Source organism: Homo sapiens, chromosome 8 (assembly GCF_000001405.40).
Source record: "Homo sapiens chromosome 8, GRCh38.p14 Primary Assembly".
Lineage (NCBI taxonomy): Eukaryota > Metazoa > Chordata > Mammalia > Primates > Hominidae > Homo > Homo sapiens.
In genome coordinates, this window is record NC_000008.11 from 67,038,467 (window position 1) to 67,062,951 (window position 24,485).

The 24,485-nt window shown below is 39.9% G+C and overlaps 1 protein-coding gene across 1 annotated transcript, besides 2 other annotated features; it reads right to left on the reverse strand.

The window, feature by feature from the left end:
- Positions 1-4,612: 4,612 nt before the first annotated feature.
- COPS5 (COP9 signalosome subunit 5) lies at positions 4,613-23,667 on the reverse strand. Its single transcript, NM_006837.3, has 8 exons — positions 23,388-23,667; positions 20,745-20,979; positions 19,617-19,745; positions 18,914-18,979; positions 18,053-18,138; positions 12,764-12,875; positions 7,346-7,494; positions 4,613-4,851 (listed from the first exon to the last, which is right to left on the reverse strand). The coding sequence occupies exons 1-8, from the start codon at positions 23,528-23,530 to the stop codon at positions 4,767-4,769; spliced, it is 1,005 nt and encodes a 334-aa protein (NP_006828.2). The 5' UTR covers positions 23,531-23,667; the 3' UTR covers positions 4,613-4,766.
- Positions 23,334-23,423: an enhancer, noted in NCBI's record as "active region_27494". NCBI's record gives its function as "activates an Ori minimal core promoter by ATAC-STARR-seq in GM12878 lymphoblastoid cells {active_cell/tissue: GM12878}" and the evidence as "EXISTENCE:reporter gene assay evidence [ECO:0000049][PMID:35858748]".
- Positions 23,604-23,873: an enhancer, noted in NCBI's record as "active region_27495". NCBI's record gives its function as "activates an Ori minimal core promoter by ATAC-STARR-seq in GM12878 lymphoblastoid cells {active_cell/tissue: GM12878}" and the evidence as "EXISTENCE:reporter gene assay evidence [ECO:0000049][PMID:35858748]".

The window sequence follows — 24,485 nt, forward strand, 5'->3', positions numbered from 1 at the left end:
GAGCAAAAATAAAAGCTGTCATTCTGTGTAGTGTATCTTCCTGTCTTCAAAACTAGAACAAAAAACCACATTACTCACCATATAGGTATATTAAGTTATAGTTAAAACAATCCATAAATATAGAAACCTTGGATACTTAACAATCTGTGTTCAGTTGAGTTTACTCAGCTACATGTGGATACAGTGCAGACTTAGTAATATAAATGAACTCTTCTCTGCATGCATGGCTTGTGCATCTGTACCTCATCACTCACAGAACAGTTTTTGGAAACTTTGAAACTCTGCAATATGCAGCACACCTACCCTCCAACAGTTTCTCTGATTCACTGTAAAGTTCCTTATGCTCCTGCTCTCTTCTGTGTTTATTTTTAAGTGGCTGCTCTGTGGGGCAGTTTATTCTATTGTGCAATGCAGTGATTTTTCAAAGTCCTGAATACAAGGTAGTCATACTAATTTGTGACAACAATCTTCAGACTTGATCCCTCTAACAGAGCACATGATGTTTGGTCTCAGAGCTTATTTTCCAAATTGAGAAACAATGGAGCGCAAACAGCTATTCTTCCCCTATTGGCTTTTTTGTTCTTGGCAGTACTTGCGTGGTGTGTTGTTGTTAATCAATAAATAAAACGTGCAGATTGAAGTATTCATATAACTGGACAGTGTAACATAAAATGGTATTACAGGCATATTGTACATGTCAACAATATATATAAGGTCATGGTGTTGACTTTTTGGAACTAGGACCTTGAGATATTAAAGCAAGCTGGAAAATTTGGAACATCCTTGATTCTGGTATCTCACTGTCCTCCTTAACTGGCTCCAATCCCCATTCCATATCCAGTGACTTCTCACTCCATCTCTGTTCCAGCCTGGGCTTCTAGTCCTGCTGTGGCTCATTTTATTACTTGAACATTGGGATTTTTTATGATAATTGACATTTCCTGTATATTATCACCAAAGAGCTTTGGAAATTATCTCTGAAAAATTTGAAACTGAACAAAAAACAGACTTCACTTGGGAAAAATGGCCTTTTCAACTTTAAGTAGCTCAAGGCTGTAAGACAATGCTTTGCAGGAGAAGGCAACCCCAACTTAGTTTAGTCAACCCCAACTTAGTTTCTAAATGGTGGCTGCAAATTGAACCCTGATTTCCTAAAAGCTCAATGTTATAAACTGAACACTAATACTAAAAGTAATCATGAAAATAGATTAAAATGTAAAGAAGTGCTTAAAAATATTTGTAAAGGATCTCTTTAGTAAAGTAGCTACATTAAATGAAATGCAAATGCCTCACTCTGGGGCTGTTATTGCCTGGGCTGGGTGGTTGCTTGAGGGGACATTGGTGGTTGTGTCTGTGGCATCAATTGACCCACTGCTTGTGCATTTTGGTTTATTGTCCCTATTCCCAGCTCTAGAAGTAGCCCTTAATTGATCTCAGCAGTTGCTATATGTAATCCCAGAGGTGGGCTCATGACCTGTTAGGTCAATCAGAGTGAAGTCAGAATCTTTTTTTTGACAATGAGCTAATATATTCTTTTTAAGTTACTTTTTTGTTTTGTTTTGTGGTTACTTCCAACCAAGGAATCATTACTGAAATACTGACGCTTCTCAAAATGAGTCCAATGAAATTAGGACTGAAAAGCTTTCTTTCCCTGGTAATTCTCTGTTGTAAGCATAGGTATTTTCCATCCCACCAAGATAATTTTTTTTTTTTTTTTGAGACGGAGTCTCACTCTGTCATCTAGGCTGGAGTGCAATGGCGCAATCTCTGCACACTGCAACCTCCACCTCTGGGTTCAAGCACTCCCCTGCCTCAGCCTCCCGAGTAGCTGGGACTACAGGCATGCGCCACTACATATGGCTAATTTTGTATTTTTAGTAGAAACAGGGTTTTGCCATGTTGGCCAAGCTGGTCTCAAACTCCTGACCTCAGGTGATCCACCCGCCTCGGCCTCTCAAAGTGTTAGGATTACAGGCGTAAGCCACTGCACCCAGCATCCAAGATAATCTTAATAAGTTTACCAGTGTCAAATTAAATGTGGATTGTCAAATTAAATGTGAATAACTGTATTCAAGTCAGGTCAACTTGGTCAACTTGAAGTCAACTCCTGATCTCAAGTGATGCGCCCAGCTTGGCCTCCCAAAGTGCTGGGATTACAGGCGCCAGCCACCGTGCCCAGCCTCCAAGATAATAAGTTCACCAATGTCAAATTAAATGTGGAATGCCAAATTAAATATGAATAACTGTATTCAAGTCTTGGAATGAAAACTGCTAATATGTTTTCATGGTGACTTCAATGACTCCTTACTTTTTCATGTCAAAACCTTAACCATTTATTCATGTCTGTGAGAGAAACCTCAATTCATTTGTTTTCCGAGAATGACTCAATATGATGCTGGTGTTGCTATATCTATCTGTGGCAGTAACTGCAGATCTTGGCTGTTCTTTGGAGGCAGAAATGTTTTTCTTTCTTTTTTTCTGTACAGACAGGGTTTCACCTTGTTGCCCAGGCTGGTCCTGAACTCCTGAGCTCAAGCGATCCACCCACCTCAGCCTCTCAAAGTGCTAGGATTATAGGCATAAGCCACCGCTCCTGGCTCATGATTTTTGTTTTAAAGGGCATAAAAATAGAGGTCAGGTTGTGCCATCTGAAACTGGGGGGGGGGGGTTGCCTCCTTTAAAGGGATATAAAACAGACCAAAATGTTAATATATCAGCAACCAAGTATTTGGATATTAATTGGCTTCCTCATCTTAATCAAAAATCTGCCTCATTGCTAAATCTAACAAAACTCATGTTTTCTTTTCCTTGACCTTTTGTACCATGTGAAGTCACTGGTAAGTTCCTATTTACTTATTTAATTTAGAGACAGGGTCTCACTCTGTTCCCCAGGCTGGAGTGCAGTGGCGCAATCATGGCTCACTGCCACCTCAACTTCCTGGGCTCAGGTGATCCTCCCACTTCAGCCTCCCAAGTAGCTGGGACCACAGGTGCATGCCACCACGCCTGGTTAATTTTTGTATTTTTTTGTAGAGATGGTTTTGCTATGTTGCCCGGGCTGGTCTCAAACTGCTGGGCTCAAGTGACCCTGCCGCCTCAGCCTTCCAAAATGCTGGTATTATGGGCCATGCCACCATGCCCTGCCGTAAGTTCCTTTTTAAAGGTTTCTTACTCCTTGGCTCCTGTGGTCTCCTCTTCCTCTGCCCATTTTAAATATCTGATGTTTCCATGATTCAGTCTTGGGCCCTCTTCTCATTCTTTATTCTCCAAGGGTTATCTCATTTGCTGTCATCTAGGCTTTACTGCCAAATCTCTCAACAGGAAGCTCTTAGAAAACACAATCTAGTACATTTTTGCTCTGTTTAAAACTCTCTAACTCCCTAATGCTGTTAGGATAAACTCCAGAATGCCACCGCAGGATCTACCCTGGTCCTACCTCTGAAGTCATCTTGTCACTCCCCAAGTCCTACTGACATATATACATATATATACACATACACATACACACACACACACACACACACACACACACACACACACACACACACACACACACATATATATTTTTTTTCAGACAGGGTCTCACTCTGTCACCCAGGCTAGAGTACAGTGGTGCGATCACGGCTCACTGCACCCCCAACCCCCTGCCACTGGCTCAAGCGATCCTCCCACCTCAGCCTCCCAAGTAGTTGGGACCACAGGCGCGCACTACCACACCTGGGTATTTTTTTGTACTTTTAGTAGAGATGGCGTTTTGCCATGTTACCCCAGGCTGGTCTCGAACTGCTGAGCTCAAGCAATTCTCCTGCCTCAGCCTCCCAAAGTGCTGGGGTTACAGGCGTGAGCCACCATGCTTGGCCCTACTTACCAATCTTAAGTCTAACTGAATCTCATTTCCTTGAAGGTTCTAGGTTCTTGCTTTCTACCTCTGAGCTTCTACACACTGCTGTACTCCCTGCCTGTAATAGTAACCACCTCCCTGTTACTCTCTTCTGGCTAATCCTTTCATGTTTCAACTTAATGGTCAGGCCACATCCTTCAGGAAGCCAACTTTGCTAACCCCTCTTGAGGACATGCATTCCTCCCCATGAGTCCCCAACACACTTTATTTCTCCCCTCACAGCAGTATCTTTAAGTTCTTGTTAATTAAGCTTTAGCCTCCAGAAGTTCTGTGAGGACAGTGGCCATGTCTAGCTTGTTCAGCATATTTCCAGAGAGTAACAGTCACCAGCTCAGGAAAGGTATGTGATGAATATTTGAAGGACTAGATACCCTGTGCTAGGCTGTCTCTAATAAGTATTTGATTTTCAGGAAAATAATTTATGGTACTACTCAGCTAATGTTTTGTAGGAACATTAAAAGTGTTCCTAATACATTATTAAAATAATGAACTGTTAAATTATATTTTACTTACAGACAGTCAAAAGAAGGGACAAATTGAAAAGTGGTTCTGACAATCAGTATGGCAAGTGAAATGCTGAAATTGACTAATTTAGATAGTCTAAACTTAAAAATAGAAAGTTCTAATAAATATATTTTCTCTCATATTCAAGAACCGTAATGGATACTAGAAAAATATTGCGAATCTTCCCACAAAAAAATCAAAGGACAATTTCATTTTAAAGAGCTTTATTACAGGATATTAATATTTAGGACACTTCAGAGCACCTTATACTTCTAATCAGATTTTGGGTAACTGGTTTTAAAGTGTTACTTGAATATTTTTCTCATACTGTCTTTCAGGTAAAGTACTTCTCAGAGACTGTTTAAGAGATGTTAATTTGATTAAACAGTTTATCCTTAATAACCTGAGACATCAATCCATGGATAGCTTCTATGGTAGTTTTACAGCTGGAAAAAAAAACACACATCACATGATGTCATAAATTGAAAACTATTTCAAACACACAAGATCAGCCCCAATCCATCCATGTAACTCCAATGAGTTTAGTTTTATTCATACTTCTCAAACCACCCCAATCTGAAGTTTTCCCTTGTGATTTTATTAGTCTTCCCCATGTCTTTTTGACCATTTCATTACTTACTAGAACTTTCACAAGAGAATGACAACGTAAAATTTGATACAATTGTTCTGTTTTAGAAGGTGAGTAAAATTATACAAACCTGTAATTAGAGATTGATTCTAATATTATATTATATTAAAATCTGTTATTCCTTGTTTATTACTTAGGATAATTTGACAAATAATTTTAAAGAATACTATGCTTTTTTCTGAAATAATCACAAGCATCCTCCAACAATCAGAAGTCAAACTTAGGTTAGCGGGTGAAGGCCTTAGATTTTAGAAATGATAAAAAGTATAAGGCAAAAGAAATGACAAAACCCCACCAATACTCAGAAGAGATGCAATTCTTGTAAAGCTACCCCAAAAAGGAAAATTCTCTACTTTTGATTACTACTTCTGTTCTATTTCTTATATAATTGAAGACATTGCCATAGTAAAATTTTTGCTTCATAATTAATAAATGTAGATAAACTGATAAATGACATACATAAAGACAGATGAACAAAACACACACTCAAAGCAAGTATCTAAAATGACTCCTGATGCCAACGAAAAATACTTTTTTTTGGAGACAGAGTCTCACTCTGTCACCCAGGCTGGAGTGCAGTGGCACAATCATGGGTCACTGCAACCTCTGCCTCCTAGGCTCCAGTGATTCTTGTGCCTCAGCCTCCTAAGTAGCTGGAACCACAGATCTGCGCCACCATGCCCAGCTAATTTTTTTTTTAAATTTTTGCAGAGATGGGGTTTTGCCATGTTGCCCAGGCTGGTTTCAAACTCTTGAGCTCAAGCAATATGCCTGCCTTGGCCTCCCAAAGGGCTGGGATTATAAGCATGCGTCACCATGCCCAGCCGAAAAACGCAACTTTTATGCAGGCCACTAGCTCTACCTTCTAAAAACCCACTGAGAAGATGGCAGTGAAATAAGGCTAACCCAAAATGACCTCCAATCCCAGGATACACTTTAGCTACTCTTTTCTCTTCTTTTCCCTATAAACCAAACCAGTTCTTAAAATAGATACCAACATATAAATGTTTATAGAAGTCAATATGTTTCTTCCTTCCTTTCTGCCTCTAATTATTGCATTACAATTCAAATTTCTTTTCTTTCTTTTTTTTTTTTGGAGACAGAGTTTCGCTCTTGTTGGCCAGGCTGGAGTGCAATGGCGCCATCTTGGCTCACTGCAATCTCCACCTCCTGGGTGGAGGTGATGCTTCTGCCTCAGCCTCCTGAATAGCTGGGATTACAGGTGCCCGCCACCACGCCCGGTTAATTTTTGTATTTTTAGTAAAGATGGGGTTTCACCATGTTGGCCAGGCTGGTCTTGAACTCCTGATCTCAGGTGATCTGCCTGCCTTGGCCTCCCAAAGTGCTGGGATTACAGGTGTGAACCACTGTGCCCGGCCTAAAATTCAAATTTCTGTGAAAGTAAATGTTATTAATCTTTGCAACTTTGTATAGCCTATATATCTGAAGGTCCACATAATTATTTCGTAAGTTATTAAAGAACACATCCCAAATTTGTTCCTAATAAAATCTTTGGTAGTAAAATTTGGGATACTAAATTACTGTTTTAGAAGCACAATTTAAGAGAGAGACAATCACTTCTGTAATATCTTAGGATTTAAAGCTTTATTGAATATTAACATCTTGTAAATTTAAGAAATCCTAATTTTGGCCGGGTGCGGTGGTTCATGCCTGTAATCCCAGCACTTTGGGAGGCCCAGGTGGGCAGATCACCTGAGGTCAGGAGTTCAAGACCAGCCTGGTCAACATGGTGAAACCCCATCTCTACAAAAAATACAAAAAAATTAGTCAGGCATGATGGCAGGTGCCTATATTCCCAGTTACTTGGGAGGCTGAGGCGGGAGAATCGCTTGAACCCGGTAGGCGGAGGTTGCAGTGAGCCAAGATCATGCCATTGCACTCCAGCCTGGGTGACAGAGCGAGATTCTGTCTCAAAAAAAAAAAGAAATCCTAGTTACACACACATACACACACACACACTTTAAAGATCCACTTAAGGGCTGCTTTTGTCACACTTTCTAGTTGAACCTAGAAAAGGTGACTGGGAGTGTTCCGTAACACTGCTTAGAACTTTGATTTAAGCCTTTTCATGTTCTTACCTGAGGTATCCTAAATTTTCAAAGTTAAAACTTGTGTCTGACAACTCCTAAAGTTTCCAAGAAGTTAATATTCAGGTACCATTCTAAGTTGTAACTAACTTGAGCCATAAGGAATCTGAATACTACTATTGTTTGCAAATTTTGAAAGAAAAAGAGTTAGGGGCAACAGGAATCTTATAGATTTACTCTTACCTGTCTCTTGTAGCTTTGGCAAGTTTGTCTTCTGATTTTCGGTCATGCGTTTCTAAACCCAACATGAAACTCCCTCGTCCCAGCTGGGCTTCTGACTGCTCTAACTTTTCAGACAAATCAAAGACCTGACCAGTGGTATAGTCTGCATTCTGTGGGGAAAGTGGTATTGTGTCACTGCAAAACACAAGTCTACCATTTAAAAATCTGTATATTTTAATGTAAACTAATTTTCTACAAAGAATATTTCATTTGCAAAGAATTCCACTGTAAAATCTGAGTGAATAGTCAGTGAGGAGAGAAGTCAAATTACATTTGCAAATCTGCTTCCAAATTCAGGCAGTTCAAGTGTAGATAGATGTTTTCCCTTTTATAATTTCAAGATTACTTGGAATTTTTCTCCTTGACTGCTTAAATCTAATTATTTGTTATTATGGCAGGCTTTGAAGTATACAGACCTAAGTCCAGGTTCTGGAACTATGGCATATTAGTTGAAGGCCTGAGGTATGCCTCCAGGTTTTCTTCTGAAAATGGTAAGGGAGTCGATAATTCCTACCTTAGAGCTACTGTGAAAGTTAAATGAAGTAATGCATATAAAGTTTTTGGGACTGTTCATGACACCTAGTAAAGGCTTAGTAATATTAGCTAATTTTGCTATTGTTTTTGTGGAACTTTCAGAATTAGTACTTATGACAATATTTATAAAAATAACATTTTAAAAGCTTTTCTGGGTCGGGCGCGGTGGCTCATGCCTGTAATCCCAGCATTTTGAGAGGCTGAGGCAGTTGGATCACCTGAGGTCAGGAGTTCGAGACCAGCCTGGCTAACAAGATGAAACCCTATCTCTACTAAAAATACAAAAAAATTAGCCGGGCGTGGTGGCAGGAGCCTATAATCCCAGCTACTCGGGAGGCTGAGGCAGGAGAATCGCTTGAACCCAGGAGGCGGAGGTTGCAGTGAGCCGAGATTGCGCCATTGTACTCCAGCCTGGGCAACAAGAGCAAAACTCTGTCTCCAAAAAAAAAAAAAAAAAAAAAAAACAAACACTTTTCTGGTTACAAAATTAATAATTATACAAAAATATTTGGAAAATGTAGAGCAATATAAAGAAGTAAACAAACACATCTATAATCTCTTCACTTAGCTATAACTGCAACTAAAGAGCATTGCTATATGCTCACATGTATATCTACATTTGAGAAACTATAATATTACATATTTTACCAATATTTTTATGGGGTATCACTTTTTAATTGCAGTCTAAAACACAAAAAAAATTTCACAAAGTTATTAAGTATACATTATATTTCTTTCCTAGATCTTCAATAGAAGAGTATGAAGAGGAAATAAACTAGTTGGCAAAAAGTAGTATGTCGTTCTATTTGCTCAGTTTGCAAGGAAAGACAGTCAGTCACCAAACAAGAAAAGTTATTTGCTGCCATCACAGCTTACTATAGGGGGCTCTTTAAAATGCTACCAGTTCTTCCAATGATTTTTACAAACTTAATATTTTTTAAAAGATGCAATTATATTCATTTGGTCTGGATCTAAATGGTTTAGGAAGCCAATGTATTTTCCTCCCACAGACTTGGAAAAAACCCTAAAGTTTATAGAGCTATTTAAGCCATAAAAATATAGGCTACCAGAAATAGTTATACTATTAAAATGACAATAAAAGATATCCAATTACATTTCAAATGTGCAGAAAATGAATATACTAAACTAATTTCTTAAATTTGAAAATAACTTAGGTTACATGCTATAATTAACGTCCTTAGCTGGGGGAAGAGAGAAGTTGAACATATATCTACATATTTGTTCTTAAAATGCTGCAATGTACTATACATAAAACAACAAGGGAGAAATGTAATTTAACCTTTTCTTGATTATTAATGTCCTCATGTATGCAGTGCTGGAATACAGGGACAGACATTGGGCTGAGTAGGTAGATCTGCTTGCCTCATACAAAGGTTCAGACTGTTCTGGTCTTAACAGTGTTTTCTCCCCTTGCCATCAGGTGTCACTTCTGGCTGCTATTAATATACTTGCCTCTAAGGAAACAACACATATAAAACACTTAGCAGTTTCTGGCACATAGGAAGCATGTAACACATATTTGCTATTATGATCATTCTCCATCCTAATTTGCTACTTCTGACTACTAAGGATAAGAAATAAGAACAGATACTGGGCGCCGTGGCTCATGCCTGTAATCCCAGCACTTTGGGAGGCCAAGGTGGGCAGAAGGCTTGTGCCCAGAAGCTCCAGACCAGCCTGGACAACATGGCAAAACCCTGTCTCTATGAAAAAATATAAAAAATTAGTCAGGCATGGTGGTGTACATCCTGTAGTCAGGAGGCCGAGGTGGGAAAATCACCTGAGTCCAGGAGGTCCAGGCTATAGTGAGATGTGATTGCACCACTGCACTTCAGCCTGGGCAACAGAGTGAGACCCTGTCTCAAAATAAAATAAAATAATAAAATAAATAAAGTAAAATAAAATAATAAAATAAAATATAAAATAAAATAAAAGGAAAAAAGGAAAAAAAGAACAGAAAGCTTGTCAGAGTTGTATTTAAAATAACAGTAAATACACTGCTTCACTTGACTAGCCTAAAAAAAATTCCAGCCGGGCGCGGTGGCTCACGCCTGTAATCCCAGCACTTTGGGAGGCTGAGGCGGGTGGATCACGAGGTCAGGAGTTCAAGACCAGCCTGGCCAAGATGGTGAAACCCCATCTCTACTAAAAATACAAAAAATTAGCCGGGCGTGGTGGCACGCACCTGTAATCCCAGCTACTCCGGAGGCTGAGGCAGATAACTGCTTAAACCTGGAGGGGTGGAGGTTGCAGTGAGCTGAGATTGCACCACTGCACTCCAGCCGGGGTGACAGAGTGAGACTCCATCTCAAAAAAAAAAAAAAAAAAAATTCCAGTAAATAATAGGCTTAAGTGAGGTCTTTTCCCATGAATATAATGCACCAAATTAAAAAAAATCATTAATTGAGGCTTTATTATATGCCAGACACTTTGCTAATTGCTTTATATAAAGTAGCCCATTTAATTTTCTCAGAGTACTTAATGATGTATGTAGCATATCAACATTTTACAACAAAGAAATGCTTAGTCACATTAAATAACTTTCTGAAAGTCATTCAGAACTAGTAAAGTGGCAGAGTTGTTTTCAAAGTCAGTTTTATTTTTTAGTATAGATATCATTTGTTTATTATAGAAGAGACATGGCAATTATTTACATAATTAAATATTTCAGAACTTAAGTGCAATGAGCAGCTTCATGTTGATGGCATTTCAATAGTGATTTACTTCAGTCTACATACTTTCTAAGAATGTCAGCATCTCTAAATAAGAAATAATCTGGCTGGGCATGGTGGCTCACGGCCTGTAATGGCACTTTGGGAGGCCAAGGCGGGCAGATTGCTCAAACCCAGGAGTTCAACGCCAGCTTGGGCAACGTGGCAAAACCCTGTCTCCACAAAAAGATACAAAAATTAGCCAGGTGTGGTGGCTCACCCTTGTAGTCCCAGCTACTTGGGAGGCTGAGGCAGAAGGATCGCTCAAGCCTGGGAAGTTGAGGCTGCAGTGAGCTGAGATCGTGCCACCACAATACCCTGGACAACAGAGACAGAGACCCTGTCTCGAAAAGAAAAAGAAAAAAAAAAAATCCTTGGCCTTCCAGGTCAACTGAATAAACCTGAAGAGTTGCAAAGTAGTTCTTTACTTTTGTGCCTCCATATTCTGGGAGAATAATTCTTTATCTCTAACTTTCACATTAACTGGTTGAATCCACCTTTTCCTTGAAAGCTCAATCCAACAACTACTGTTGCTTGCAATGCTTTACCTTGAGATTTTTCTGGAAGCGTAATGCCTCCTTTGGTTACAGTTTCAGCTGTACTCCTTTCAACCAATACTCCATCAAAGAGCATAAGAAACTTCTAAGTGCCGGTCCTGCTATGACTCCTGCTGCTGTAGCTCATATTCTCCAAACCCAGTTTATTTAATTCTAAATCCTGTGGTTCTAACCACTATATATACTGCAGTATATGAAATGGCCTACTTTTTTAGAAAAATAAAAAAATTGTTCCTAAGTTCTAAATATAGAGAAGTTTGTTAAATAATATCCTACCAAATATGTTAAGTTTTTATGATATTATCAGAAAAAATTCAGTGATACTCTCTTTTTTTTTTTTTTTTTGAGACGGAGTCTCACTCTTTCACCTAGGCTGGAGTGCAGTAGCGCGATCTCGGCTCACTGCAGGCTCTGCCCCCCGGGGCTCATGCCATTCTCCTGCCTCAGCCTCCCGCGCAGCTGGGACTACAGGCGCCCACCACCTCGCCCGGCTAATTTTTTGTATTTTTAGTAGAGACGGGGTTTCACCGTGTTAGCCAGGATGGTCTCGATCTCCTGACCTCATGATCCGCCCGCCTCGGCCTCCCAAAGTGCTGGGATTACAGGCGTAAGCCACCGCGCCCGGCCTCTTTTTTTTTCTCCTAGTATCTACTGCTTTAAAGTAATGCTCTTCTGATTCACTCTGGGAACCTCTCCTCCCCATTTTTAGTCCTTGAGCTCCTGAAGGAGTTTTCTACGCTGCGGCTCAGCAGTAAAGCACTTGCCGTGGCGCAAGCCGCTCATCAAGCTTATTCAGTTGGCCCACACCAGGCCTAAACATGGGCATGTGATTAAGTAAAGCCAGTCAGACACAATGAAGTTTTGCCCGGAAATATGTGAGTGTGAGTGTGTGTGTGTGTGTGTGTGTGTGTATCTTGACCTGGAAATATGTGAGTGTGAGAGTGTGTGTGTGTGTGTGTGTGTGTGTGTATCTTGACCTTCTTTTTGAACATGAAGCTGAGAGACTTGGAGGTCTAAAGCTAAAGCTGCCGTCTTGCTTTCACATGAAGCCTGAAACTAGCGTTAACTAAGATGAAATCAATGCTAAGAGAAAGAAAAAAAAAAAAAAGACCTCATAATATTGGTTGAATGCAAACTTAGCTGTGCCTGAGTTAAGCCCTATTCCTCAACTTTGCAACTTACACAATTCCCTTTCTTGTTTAAGCTCGTTTCATTAGGTATCCTGTTACTTGTAACCAGAGTCCAAGCTGAGACACTTGATACACAAAAATCAATATGTGTATTTTTTTAATCCATAAATCTCCTTATGGCAGGGGCAGATCTCACCCTGATCTGGACACTCTGTTTGCTACTTAGACTTGGTCTCTGTGGGTCATGACACAGATCCTGAATTGGCCTAGAATCCTAATCCAGCTGTGGTGGTGCAGAATCCCACCCTAGCCCTGGTGTCTTGGCCAAGTCAGGTATAGCCTTTCTGTGAAACAGTGTTTCAGATATTAAACGGCTATGAAGCTTAGATAAAATTCAAATGCATTCTTTACAAGTATAGTACTTACAGTAAGCAAGCTAGAAGAACTCAACGTATTCACCCAGTATTTATTCCACAACAGCTCAAGCAATTTGCGATCCAAAGAGGATTTGAAATATGAGACTTCTAAGGCATAATATCTATGAAATAAAAGCATAAAATTTAGTAAGTAAAAAAAAAAATTCAACTACGTCACATAAAACTTATGGCCAGATTTAAGTGAGTTACACTTTATTCTCAAATATTCACATTTTAGTCTTTATTCCAATAAGGCAATAGCTAACCATGGTTTCCTCACACTTCAAGGGTTGTGGATCCAAATCTCCTACTAAACTTCTTGTTTTATTCCTTTTTTTCTGTAGAGCCCAGAAATTCCCCAAATGTTATTAACAACCAGTCAAAACTTCTGAATGACAAGTTTATTCCTGTTACTGAGTTCATAAATTCAAGCCAACAGCACATAAACTTAATAAGCTGCCTCTCTAGGGTCAACTATAATTTTTGTTAGCCTCTTTAAAATAATAAAAATGACATGTGGATTCCATTCTTCCCTTCCTAATTCCCCAGTTAGGACCTACTGCTTTTTGAAAAGCAAATTTTAAGGTAGGTCCTTAAGGCATCTAAAATAATTGCTCCCACTTTCAAAGGTGCCTAATTTATCATCAGGGCATAGTAAGGAAAAATCTAGTTAAATGTCTGAAAAATACATATATTTTTAAGATGTAAACTTACATCTTAAACTTACACATGCTTCTGTGTATCAGTGGATATAAAAAAGCATGAGACATCTTTACCTTAAGGAACTCAACATTTATATGGGGGATGTGGTCTAAACCCACATCAAAATTAAATATAATGATATACATTGAATAACAATAAGTGATGCTACAGTGCTATATAAAATGAATCACCTACCAACTAAGGGTTAGAGATAATAAGTATTCTTCATATAGAGGAGCTCAAGCTAGAACTGCCTGAGAAGCCTCAGGGAAAAGGCAAGGTGTAGGGTAAACATTTTTGAGTCTATGGTATGGATATGTGGAGAGCAAGGAGGGCATTAGGCAGAGAGCATCAACACACAAAAAGGAAAGACATGTAAGAGATAATAAGGCAATGGGTTTAGCTGGAAAATTTAGCAAGAGAAGAATTATGTGAGGGGAAGCTAGAAAGCTATGCTGGGGTCTAGGTGGTGAAGGATGTTACACAAAAGGTTAAGAATTTTTTTTTTTTTTTTGAGACAGAGTCTTGCTTGGTCACCCAGGCTGGAGTGCAATGGCACAATCTCAGCTCACCACAACCTCTGCTTCCCGGGTTCAAGCGATTCTCCTGCCTCAGCCTCCCGAGTAGCTGGGACTACAGGCTCCCTCCACCATGCCCAGCTAATTTTTGTATTTTTGGTAGAGATGGGGTTTCACAATGTTGGTCAGGCTGGTCTTGAACTCCCAACCTCAGGTGATCTGCCCGCCTTGGCGTCCCAAAGTGCTGGGAGCCACAGTGCTCGGCCAAACTTTGGGAGACGGAGGCAGAAGAATCGCTTGAACCCGGGAGGCAGAGGTTGAAGTGAGCCGAGATCGCGCCACTGCACTCCAGCCTGGGCAACAAGAGCAAGACTCTGTCTTAAAAAAAAAAAAAAAAAGAAATTTAAACTTTATCCTGTAGATACCCGGGACTCTTGGAAGGTGCTTGAGTAGAATGGAAGGTACTTGAGTAGAGTAATAATACAGTCAAAGGGGTGTTTTATAGTACCATTAGGAGATATTACAGGAGAGAAACTGGAGGCAGGGATTCCACAAAGGAAGCCACTGCAGCAGGGAAGATGAGAAGAGACAGAGGTTCAGACTCAGAGGTTAGTGGTGCGAAAGATAAAGACACATAGGCACCCTTTTAAAAACAGAATGCTTTTTCTGAGCCGCAATCTCACTCTGTCACTTAGGCTGGAGTGCAGTTGTGCTATCTGGGCTCACTGCAACGTTTGCCTCCCAGGTTCAAGTGATCGTTCTGCCATAGCCTCCCGAGTAGCTGGGATTACAGGCGCCCACCACCATGCCCAGCTAATTTTTTGTATTTTTAGCAGAGACAGGGTTTCACCATGTTGTCCAGGCTGGTCTCGAACTCCTGACCTCAAGTGATCCACCGCCTCAGACTCCCAAAGTGCAAAAATGCTTACGGATTAAAGTTTAGCGTGAGGAAATAAAACATAATAAATTAAACACATCATGCTGGGCGTGTTGGCTCACGCCTATAATCCCAGCACTTTGGGAGGCTGAGGCAGGTGGATCACCTGAGGTCAGGAGTTCGAGACCAGCATGGCCAACATGGTGAAACCCTGTCTCTACTAAAAATACAAAAATTAGCTGGGTGTGGTGGTGTGTGCTTGTAATCCCAGCTACTCGGGAGGCTGAGGCAGGAGAATCGCTTGAACCTGGGAGGCGGAGGTTGCAGTGAGCCGAGATGGCACCACTGTACTCCAGCCTGGGTGACAGAGTGAGACTCCATCACACACACACACAAAGAACATTTTTGGGCCGGGCACGGTGGCTCACGCCTGTAATCCCAGCACTTTGGGAGGCTGAGGCGGGCAGATCACGAGGTCATGAGATTGAGACCATCCTGGCTAAGACGGTGAAACCCCATCTCTACTAAAAATACAAAAAATTAGTCGAGCATGATGGTGGGCGCCTGTAGTTCCAGCTACTCGGGAGGGTGAGGCAGGATAATGGCGTGAACCTGGGAGGCAGAGCTTGCAGTGAGCCGAGATCACACCACTGCACTCCAGCCTGGGTGACAGAGCAAGACTCCATTTAAAAAAAAAAAAAAAAAAAGAACATTTTAGCAATTCCAGGTTCAAAATTCTAGTCTTTAGCAATGTAGGCCGCTAGCAAAGTAGCTATCCCTCTTTGGTAGGCTCATATTTCAGAGTGGCAAGGTAAGGTGTTTGCCAAAAGAAAGTTATTTAAGGATTGGTACGCAACACGATCTTAAAAAAAAAAGTTATTTAAGGAAGACAGAAGGATAAACTAACGGAATAGACAAACAGGGAAAGTAGATCTGTTTGAATACGGAAAACATAAACTGTCTCAATCTTTTTTTGTTTTGAAGTATAAACCTTTGATACAACTCAATATAAATAAAAAAAATTGAGAGTTCCTCTGAAGATTAAAGTATCACAGCAAAGGTATTTCCAGGCTTAGGAGCAATTCTCTCAAACAGGAATCATTTAAATTCTTTTTAATAGGGCAAATTAAATAATTAACACTAAACTTCTATCTGAATATATATTTGTTTCTATAGCTGGGCACAGTGGTGTGCCTGTAGTCCCTGGGCAACCTAGTGAGACTCCATCTGAAATAAAAAAACAGGAACCAAAAAAAAGGAAGAAAAGAGAATTGTATTTACAGAAATATGTCAGAGATTATTGAAAACCACATATATTTAAGAATTTAATTTTAGAAATTCTAGAATTTTCTAAGAACTTCTAAATAGAAAAATTAGAGCAGTAGTAGCACATGGGTAGCCAAAGTATTCTTTGAAGTTGGCATAAGTGGTACAGAAAAAGAGGGCAGTAGATAATCATTTATTCATTTAAGCAGCAATTTTTTTTGGTGCCCTCTTCTATGTGGCATGCCCTGTTTTAAATCCAAGGATACAGCAGTAAATTTGTGTTCACATTCTAAAGGGGTCAAAAAAAAGATGTCAAAACATATCAGATGGTTACAGTGCTAAGAAGAAAAAGCGGGGAAAGAGGAAACAGAGGTGTTACTTTACATAGGTAAAATACTACACCATGATCATGCCTAATGAACTAATGAACATTTTCTGTTAGCACGACCCTGTAAACAGATACTCAATGCTTAAAGCAGTTAGTGAGCCACATGGAAATAAGAGCGTTCTAGGCAGAGGGAACAGCAAGTGCCAGTGCTCTGAGCCATGAGCCTGCTGGCACATTTTACAAACCATAAGGAAGTCAATATGGCTGGATTGCAGACCAGCAGAAGTTCAGTGATAGGACATGAGCTCACAGAGGCTGTAGGAGCCAGACCACACAGAGGTGTGCAGTCTGTGATAAGGACTAAGGATCTTGTTCTTGGTAAGATGGGAAGTCATTCTGAAAAGGAAGAGGATTATCCGGCTTACATCTTAACAGAATCAGTCTGGCTGAAAACAGAGCTTTAAGAAGTGAAGGGCACAAGTAGAAAGACTCGCCGGAAGGCAAGTGCTTGATTGGGGCTCCAGATGGCAGTGGCTTGGGTGAAAAGGATAGTAAAAGAGGTGGTGAGATATATTTAGAAGGTAGAGAAAACTGTCCCCATTGGCTTCTTTAACATTAAAATAATTTAAGATATAATTCATACATCATAAAATTCACCATCAAAAAAGGTACGTAGGCCGGGCACAGTGGCTCACACCTGTAATCCCAGCACTTTGGGAGGCCGAGGCGGGTGGATCACGAGGTCAGGAGTTTGAGACCAGCCTGGCCAACACGGTGAAACCCTGTCTCTACTAAAAATACAAAAATTAGCTAGGTGTGGTGGCACACACCTATAATCCCAGCTACTTGGGAGGCTGAGGCAGGAGAATTGCTTGAACCTAGGAGGCGGAGGTTGCAGTGAGCCAAGATCACGCCACTGCACTCCAGCCTGGGCAACAGAGCAAGACTATGTCTTGGGGGTGGGGGGAGGGTATGTAATACAGTGGTTTTTAGTAAGAATTCTTACACTTTTATAACTTTGACTTTTTAATATGGCTTCTTTAGTCTTTCAAATCTTTCAAAGATTAGAAAGAATCTTTGTTCAGTAGAAATTATATATTTTGAGGGCTGCAGACATGCTAGTGTCAGCTGGTCCTGAACCCATCTTTCACTTGTTATAATTTTATGTAGGCCAAATATCTTGTACATTAGAAAAAGTTTAGGTTGTTTAAAAGGCAAATGACATGCTAGTTTGAAACATTAATAAAAAATGCAAAAGAAAAAAATTTAAAAATGCAAACATTTACCTAAATTCATATACTATTATTGTAAAAGCTATCATGAAATGCATTTTGTCTATGCCTTTTGTCTCATCTGTAAAATAAGGGGCTTGGACTGGTTGATATCTAAGGTTTCTTTAGGCCTCCTGAGTGCTGGGACTACAGGACTGTGCCACTTCATCTGGCTAACTTTTATAACATTTTTTGTAGAGATGGGGTCTCACTATGTTGCCCAGGCTAGTGTCGAATTCCTGTCCTCAAGCAATCCTCTCACTGTGGCTTCCCAAAGTGCTGGGATTATAGGTGTGAGTCACCGTGCCTGGCCCAGATATGTTTTTAAATTACTTACTGTTTGCAGTGTACACCAAAATCTTCTATTTTATTAAGTGGAATAGTCTGGTACTCAGAAGGTCCTTCATCAGGAGGTTTGTAGCCCTAAACAAAAATGAGGTAAACAGAAGATTAAGAAAAAAAAAAAAAAAAATATATATATATATATATATATATATATATATATATATATATATATATATATATATATAAAAATGAGAAAAACATGTTTTCTATGGAGCTTTCTAATAATAGGATTATTAACTTTCGGAGGCAAATATTTAACATGAGCATTCTAATAAAAAAAAAATACTGTTTCTACTTTCCCCCCACCCAGTTTGGTGGCTGTAGGCTGGATTTTGCTTACAGATTTATTTTTCTTCTCCTTAGGTGATGTACTTTTGTTCTAATAACTATTTCAGATTGCGGCCTCCTGCCAGGGAAGGAAATAGACCTATAGATTTAGCTTGTTTTTTCTCTAGTACCTGGCAGAATGCCACAGGCACACAGATACTTATTAATAAATAAAGACTGCTTTTCCAGTAAAATTAACAATATATAACATAAATGTATTACCCTTTGCTAGGGACAGCTTGTGGTAGTTTACTATTTTGTAAATATTATTGAATTGTTTTAATAACAAGAGATATTGCTAATGTCTTTAATAATAAGTCAAATATTTGGAATTTAAAAAATGTAAGGACTTATAATTTTAAAAATTACTAAGCATTCCTACCGTCCCAGCTACTTGGGAGGCTGAGTTGGCTTGAGCCTAGGCGATGAAGGCTGTAGTACACTATGATCATGCCTGTGAATAGCCACTGTACTCCAGCCTAGGTAACACAGTGAGACTCTAACTCTTAAAAAAAAAAAAAGTTACCTTTGGGTATGTCCTAAAGGCGCCAAGATTCACTTTCCCTGCGGATATTGTTCTTGTTGGATCAATCTATAAGAAAGATATATTTAATATCTGCTGATATAAAACTGTATGCCTTTTATTTAAACATTATAAACCTAGAAATGTATACATACATATAACACTATATACATACATAATAACCAAATAAGAATAAACCAAAAAACCATAAAAGTTCAGTAAGAGGGTAATATAAGTGTCTCACAGCTAACTTAGAGATTCAAATTATTATAACATTTAAGAATATTATTTGAAGGTTTGCTCATCTATTTTTAAAAAGTTTTCTTTTGTCCTTTTAAGAGGTGAATAACTCCTACCTTCCTCATAAAACCTGGATTGCACTTAAAACACCCTGAACATAATAAGAGCTGCTCTAGCAATTCCTGCTTAACTCAGTTCAGTCAACACTGATTGAATGCCTATGATGAGCTGGCACTGAGACATAGATGCTATGACTACCCACAATTTACAGAGGGGAGAAGCAAGATACACAGTGGTTAAATAATTTGCTCAAAGTCCCAGCTTCTAAGAGATGGAATTCACATTGAAACCTAGGCAGACTGATACCAGAGCAATTTCTCTTTACTACACTATTCTTATTTCTCAGTATACTTGCTTCAGCAAATCTTCATAAAGAACTTAATTAAACTGGTTTTAAAATTCTTACCACCACTGCTACAAATGGTTCCTGGAACTGCTGATTGAGCATCTGAGTACTAACATCAATCCCAGAAAGCCAGCAGCCATAGCCAGGGTGGCTATGATACCACCCGATTGCATTTTCAAGGCGGCCAACCTAACAAATGAAGGGGCAAAAAAGTTTAAGATTACTCTTTAATTAATTTACAAGGTACCAGTACAATAAGGGTAACCAGTCTCCTTCCCATCTCCTTCTCCTCAATTACCCACTTTTCTCAGCCCAGATGCGAAATCTATGGGCAATTGCTTACCCTTACAGAGATATTCTTTGTATACAGAATACATATTCTTTGCACATACATAGATTGATAAAAACACACACAATAGCATACCACATAACATAATAATGTTTTACACTTTGTTTTTTCACTCAATAAACTGCTTTGGAGTTTGCTTCATATAAATCATCAATATATATGATGGTTATCTTTTTATTTTTTTTTCTTTTAAAGGCTGCCTGGCAGTCCACTGATGGATATACCATAATTTATTTAGCCAGTTTTATACTCAGGAACTGAGTTAGGTTGTTTCCAAATTTTTTATTTTAAACACGTATCTGATAATAAGTGTGAGAGTTTATTTAAAAAAAAAATAAAATCCATGCCATAGACCGGGTGCAGTGGCTCATGCCTGTAATCCCAGCACTTTGGGAGGCTGAGGTGGTGGATCACCTGAGGACAGGAGTTTGGGACCAGCCAGGCCAACACAGAGAAAACCCGTCTCTACTAAAAATAGAAAAATTATCCAGGCCTACTGGTGCACGCCTGTAGTCCCAGCTACTCAGGAGGCTGAGGAGGGAGAATTGCTTCAGCCCAGGAGATGGAGGTTGCAGTGAGCTGAGATCACGCCACTGCACTCCAGCCTGGGCAACAGAGTGAGTCCCTGTCTCGAAAAAAAAAAAACAACAACAACAAAAAACAAAAAAAACCATGCTATAAGTCTTATCAGGCTTTTAATCTCGTACATTTTACATATAAATCATTAAAATTTAAATATAAAATTTCATGTAAAGGGGATAATTTTAAGTTTAGAAACTCAAAAGTCACCTTGAGACTCTAACTTGCAATTACTAAACTATAAGAAACAACATTTTTACCTGTTTTGCATTTTCTATGTATGCAGCCATGTATTCATATGCAGCAGCCTGAGCATTTACTCGGGTTTCAGTGCCCTCCACAGGCAAAGCAAAACTGTCCATAATGATCATGGTTTCACCATCCACCTTTCCTAGCATCAGACCCATCACTTCCAAGTTGCCTCCCGATCTGGCATGCATCACCATCTTCAGCAGAGCCAATGCTGAGATTTTGCAGTACTTAAAGTAATGGTGACTGCAAAACAAAATCACAATGTAATTAAATTCCTTATATAAAGTAAAATTTCAGAAAAGTTTTTATGAAGATAAAGAGTAAGTATTGAAGGAATTTAGAGCGATGGAAAGGGAGTGTAGACTACGGGGAGAAAAAGTAAAAAAGGACAGTTTTTGCAGGCTGGAAACAATAAGTATGTCATAGTGCAGCAACGTATCCCCCTTAGGGGAGGGGAAAAGTCTGAAATACTTTTTTAATATGCTATTCAAATAAGGGAGTAACATGACCAGTTCAACAGACTTTTTCTCCATTAATTTGGAATCACCCAATCTTGGATTCTGACTGCTTGGATGGTTGTGCCTAACTGTTCTGAGGCCTAACCTTCTGGCCTAATGGTTAAGAATGTGGGTTCTGACATTCATCTGCTAAGGTCTGAATCTTGACATTGCCATTCCCTAGCTGTGGTATTGGGACAACCCTGTAATATCTGTGCCTAGGTTTCCTTTTCTGTAAATAGGGATATTCATAATTGTTGTTAGGATGAAATAAATGAAATAATGTATATAAAGTGCTTAGTGCCTTACACATACTAGAACCCTAATAAGTGCTAGCTGTTATCAGCATTATTAACCTGTCTCTTAACCCTACTCTCAAAGAACAGAGTGTTGAAGGGTGGGCTTCCCTGTTATATCAGCCTTAAATTAAAAAGTAGCCCTAATATCCTAGTCTCCTATGATCACTATTTCAGAGTTGGTCATCAGTGAATTAAACTCTTGAATAAAATTACATTTTGGTCTCATTAATGCAGCCCAAGACAGCTAGGATGAATATAATTAGAGCCACAATTAGACAGTGAGGCAGGCCAACAGTTTCCAAATATTTAAGAGTACACGAACCTAAAATGCACAGCCTGTTACAGAAGCAAGCAGATAACCAAGCAACTTAAGCAGCCTTACAGAGCAGTCAGTCAACGTCTCTACAAAGCCTTTTTAGATGTCTGCCCACAGAAAGAATCCAAATTTAATTCCTAAGCTTTGCCAGATTTCAACCAAAAGCTGAAAAATGTGTAGACCTCATGTTGGAAGTCAAGACATGAATCGAAATCTTGGCTTCTCCCTTTACTGGAGAAAAGAAGAAAGACAAGTTACTGTGCTCCTATTACATACATTCTAGACGACTCTTTTTATACATTATCTCACCTAATCTCTATGACAATACCAATAAGTAGGTCTTATTTCCATATTATGACAAATGAAGATGGATAAGTAAATTTCCTAAGGTCAATCAACTAGTTAGTGACAGCTGTGAGATTTGATCTTAGGTCTGACTATTGCTCAGTTGAGAGTTCACTTATGTCAGTATGATCATAAATTACATAACGTATTTGCTTGTTTTTTAATTTGTAACAAAAGGATGGATATACTGTACTGGGTTGTCATGAAAATTAAATGACGTGGAAATCTCTAGCTAGGTGCTTCCGCAGTTCACCATTGTGGAATCTGAATACTGAGAGACAAGGCTAGCCTTGTAAAAAAAACTGTGAGGCAGTAGAAGTATGTCCTCTTGTTGACCACAGCTTTCCTTTCTATCTAACCATTAGCTTTCGTGCTCTTTTTACTCTCAAACATAACCCGTAATAATTATCTTTTCCTGATAGCAGGAAATCTCTCAGGAGATGCTCTCAGGAAAAGATAAATATTATGGGTAAAGATCCCTCGACTTGTCACCACTCCCAGGGAAAAATGGATATTGTTGAAGGGCAAAAGGTCTTAAGCTCTATTTTTATAATTTCTGGCTTATGGGAACTGGTGGAGTAACATTTTAGAGACCAGGTAGTAGAGCCTCCGTGTGCCTCCGAAATAATTACCAGCAATCAAAAAACTATTATAGGCCCAGGCCTCACGCCTGTAATCCCAGCACTTTGGAAGGCGAAGGCGGGAGGATCGCTTGAAGGCAGAAGCTCGAGATCAGCCTGAGCAACACAGCGAGGACCCATTTCTATTAAAAAAAAAAGAAAAGAAAATAGCTCATAGCTATTTTTGAGACCTTGGGCTGCTGACTCGATTTCTGAAAACAGCTGCAATCCCCAGTTTGGGATTAGTTGAAGACCCAAACAAGGTGCATGTCGACACTGGGCTCAAGGTAGGGTGTGTGGCATATATGACAATACGGATGTTCAGAAGTGACAACTTAAATCACCGCTTGTTGTTCTCCCCTTACATCACCCGGGGGCAAATGGATTAAAGCGACAGAAAGGGGAGTGAAAGCCCCAGCGGAGGGCTTAGGCTCTACTTGCAGATCCAAGACGCATATTCTGTCCCCCTCCCAGTCGGTGAAAGCTCTTCACCCCTTTCACCTCCCTCTCCCTCTGGGTCTCTTAAACTCCGCCACCCTTTCCCTCCCCTGCGTCTCGCCAGGGACCTCCTCACTCCTTAGTCCAGGGCTTCGCCGCCAGGATTTCTTGCTGCTGTTTCTTGTCGTATTTGTAGATTTCATCGATACTCTGAGCTTCCTGCATGTTGTTGGCCAGTTCCCAGGTTTTCTGGGCCATACCGCTCCCGGACGCCGCCATCGCCGAGGAAGCGGAGAAGTTGTCGTCTCTACAACCAAGACGCAACTTTACCTCGCTAGGTTTCCGGGTGTGGGCCTTGACCCTCCGCACCACGGGAACAAACTCTTACCTAGACTCTTGGGGCAGCCATGACACCTAGAACCGGAGGTGAAGTTGGTAGAGACCATTCAGGGAAGACAGGGACCTTTCCGGGACATGACGATATAAACAGCAGTTACAGTAATAGCGAGAGACGAATCTTCTTGTTGCTTAAATGAGAACATCTTGTCTCGGAAAATTATATGTGTGAAATAGAACAAACAAAGTTATAGGGTATGGGAGTGGTATAGTCTTCCGCACCGGAAGAAGGGCATGTAACGTTATTCCAGAAACTGGTATTTGCCTTCTCTGCTTCTAATGCGCAGGCTCGGCCTCCGCCATATTAAAGGTAGCTGGAGCCTTAAGAGCGGGATGTGGAGGGCGGAAAGTGTTTTTGTGTGGGTATAGGTACCTTAAATGAGATAAGTTTGTTGAAAGACTAAAAGGTAAGGCTGTCTGTTGTACAACTGAGCTAAAAGTCGTTCTGGAAGCTGGTTGAGAGGAAGATAAACATGGCATTCCCGTTTACTTCAAGATGACTCACTGTACATGCGTAAAAGCTAACGGGCTCGTGGTGGCTTGGCACTTCACTTGCAGATGGGCTTTTTCTATCGATGCGAGGAGGCAGTGGGTACTCCTTGATTGCTTTTTTGCGCTTTGGTAAAAGTTAACATCTACGTATATATAATGTGCCATTACTGATCTGAAAATGTCCAGTACTCAGTTCTCGTAACAGGTTACAGTTAAATCTTTGGCACTCCTGTGAACCGCATTTGTTCCCAAAGCGTAATTAATCTGGGTAACTGGTTTGTTTTCTTCCTACAGTTAATACAATGTTTAATTTTTTTATTAGTTCACGTGTTTTAGGTTTTCTTTT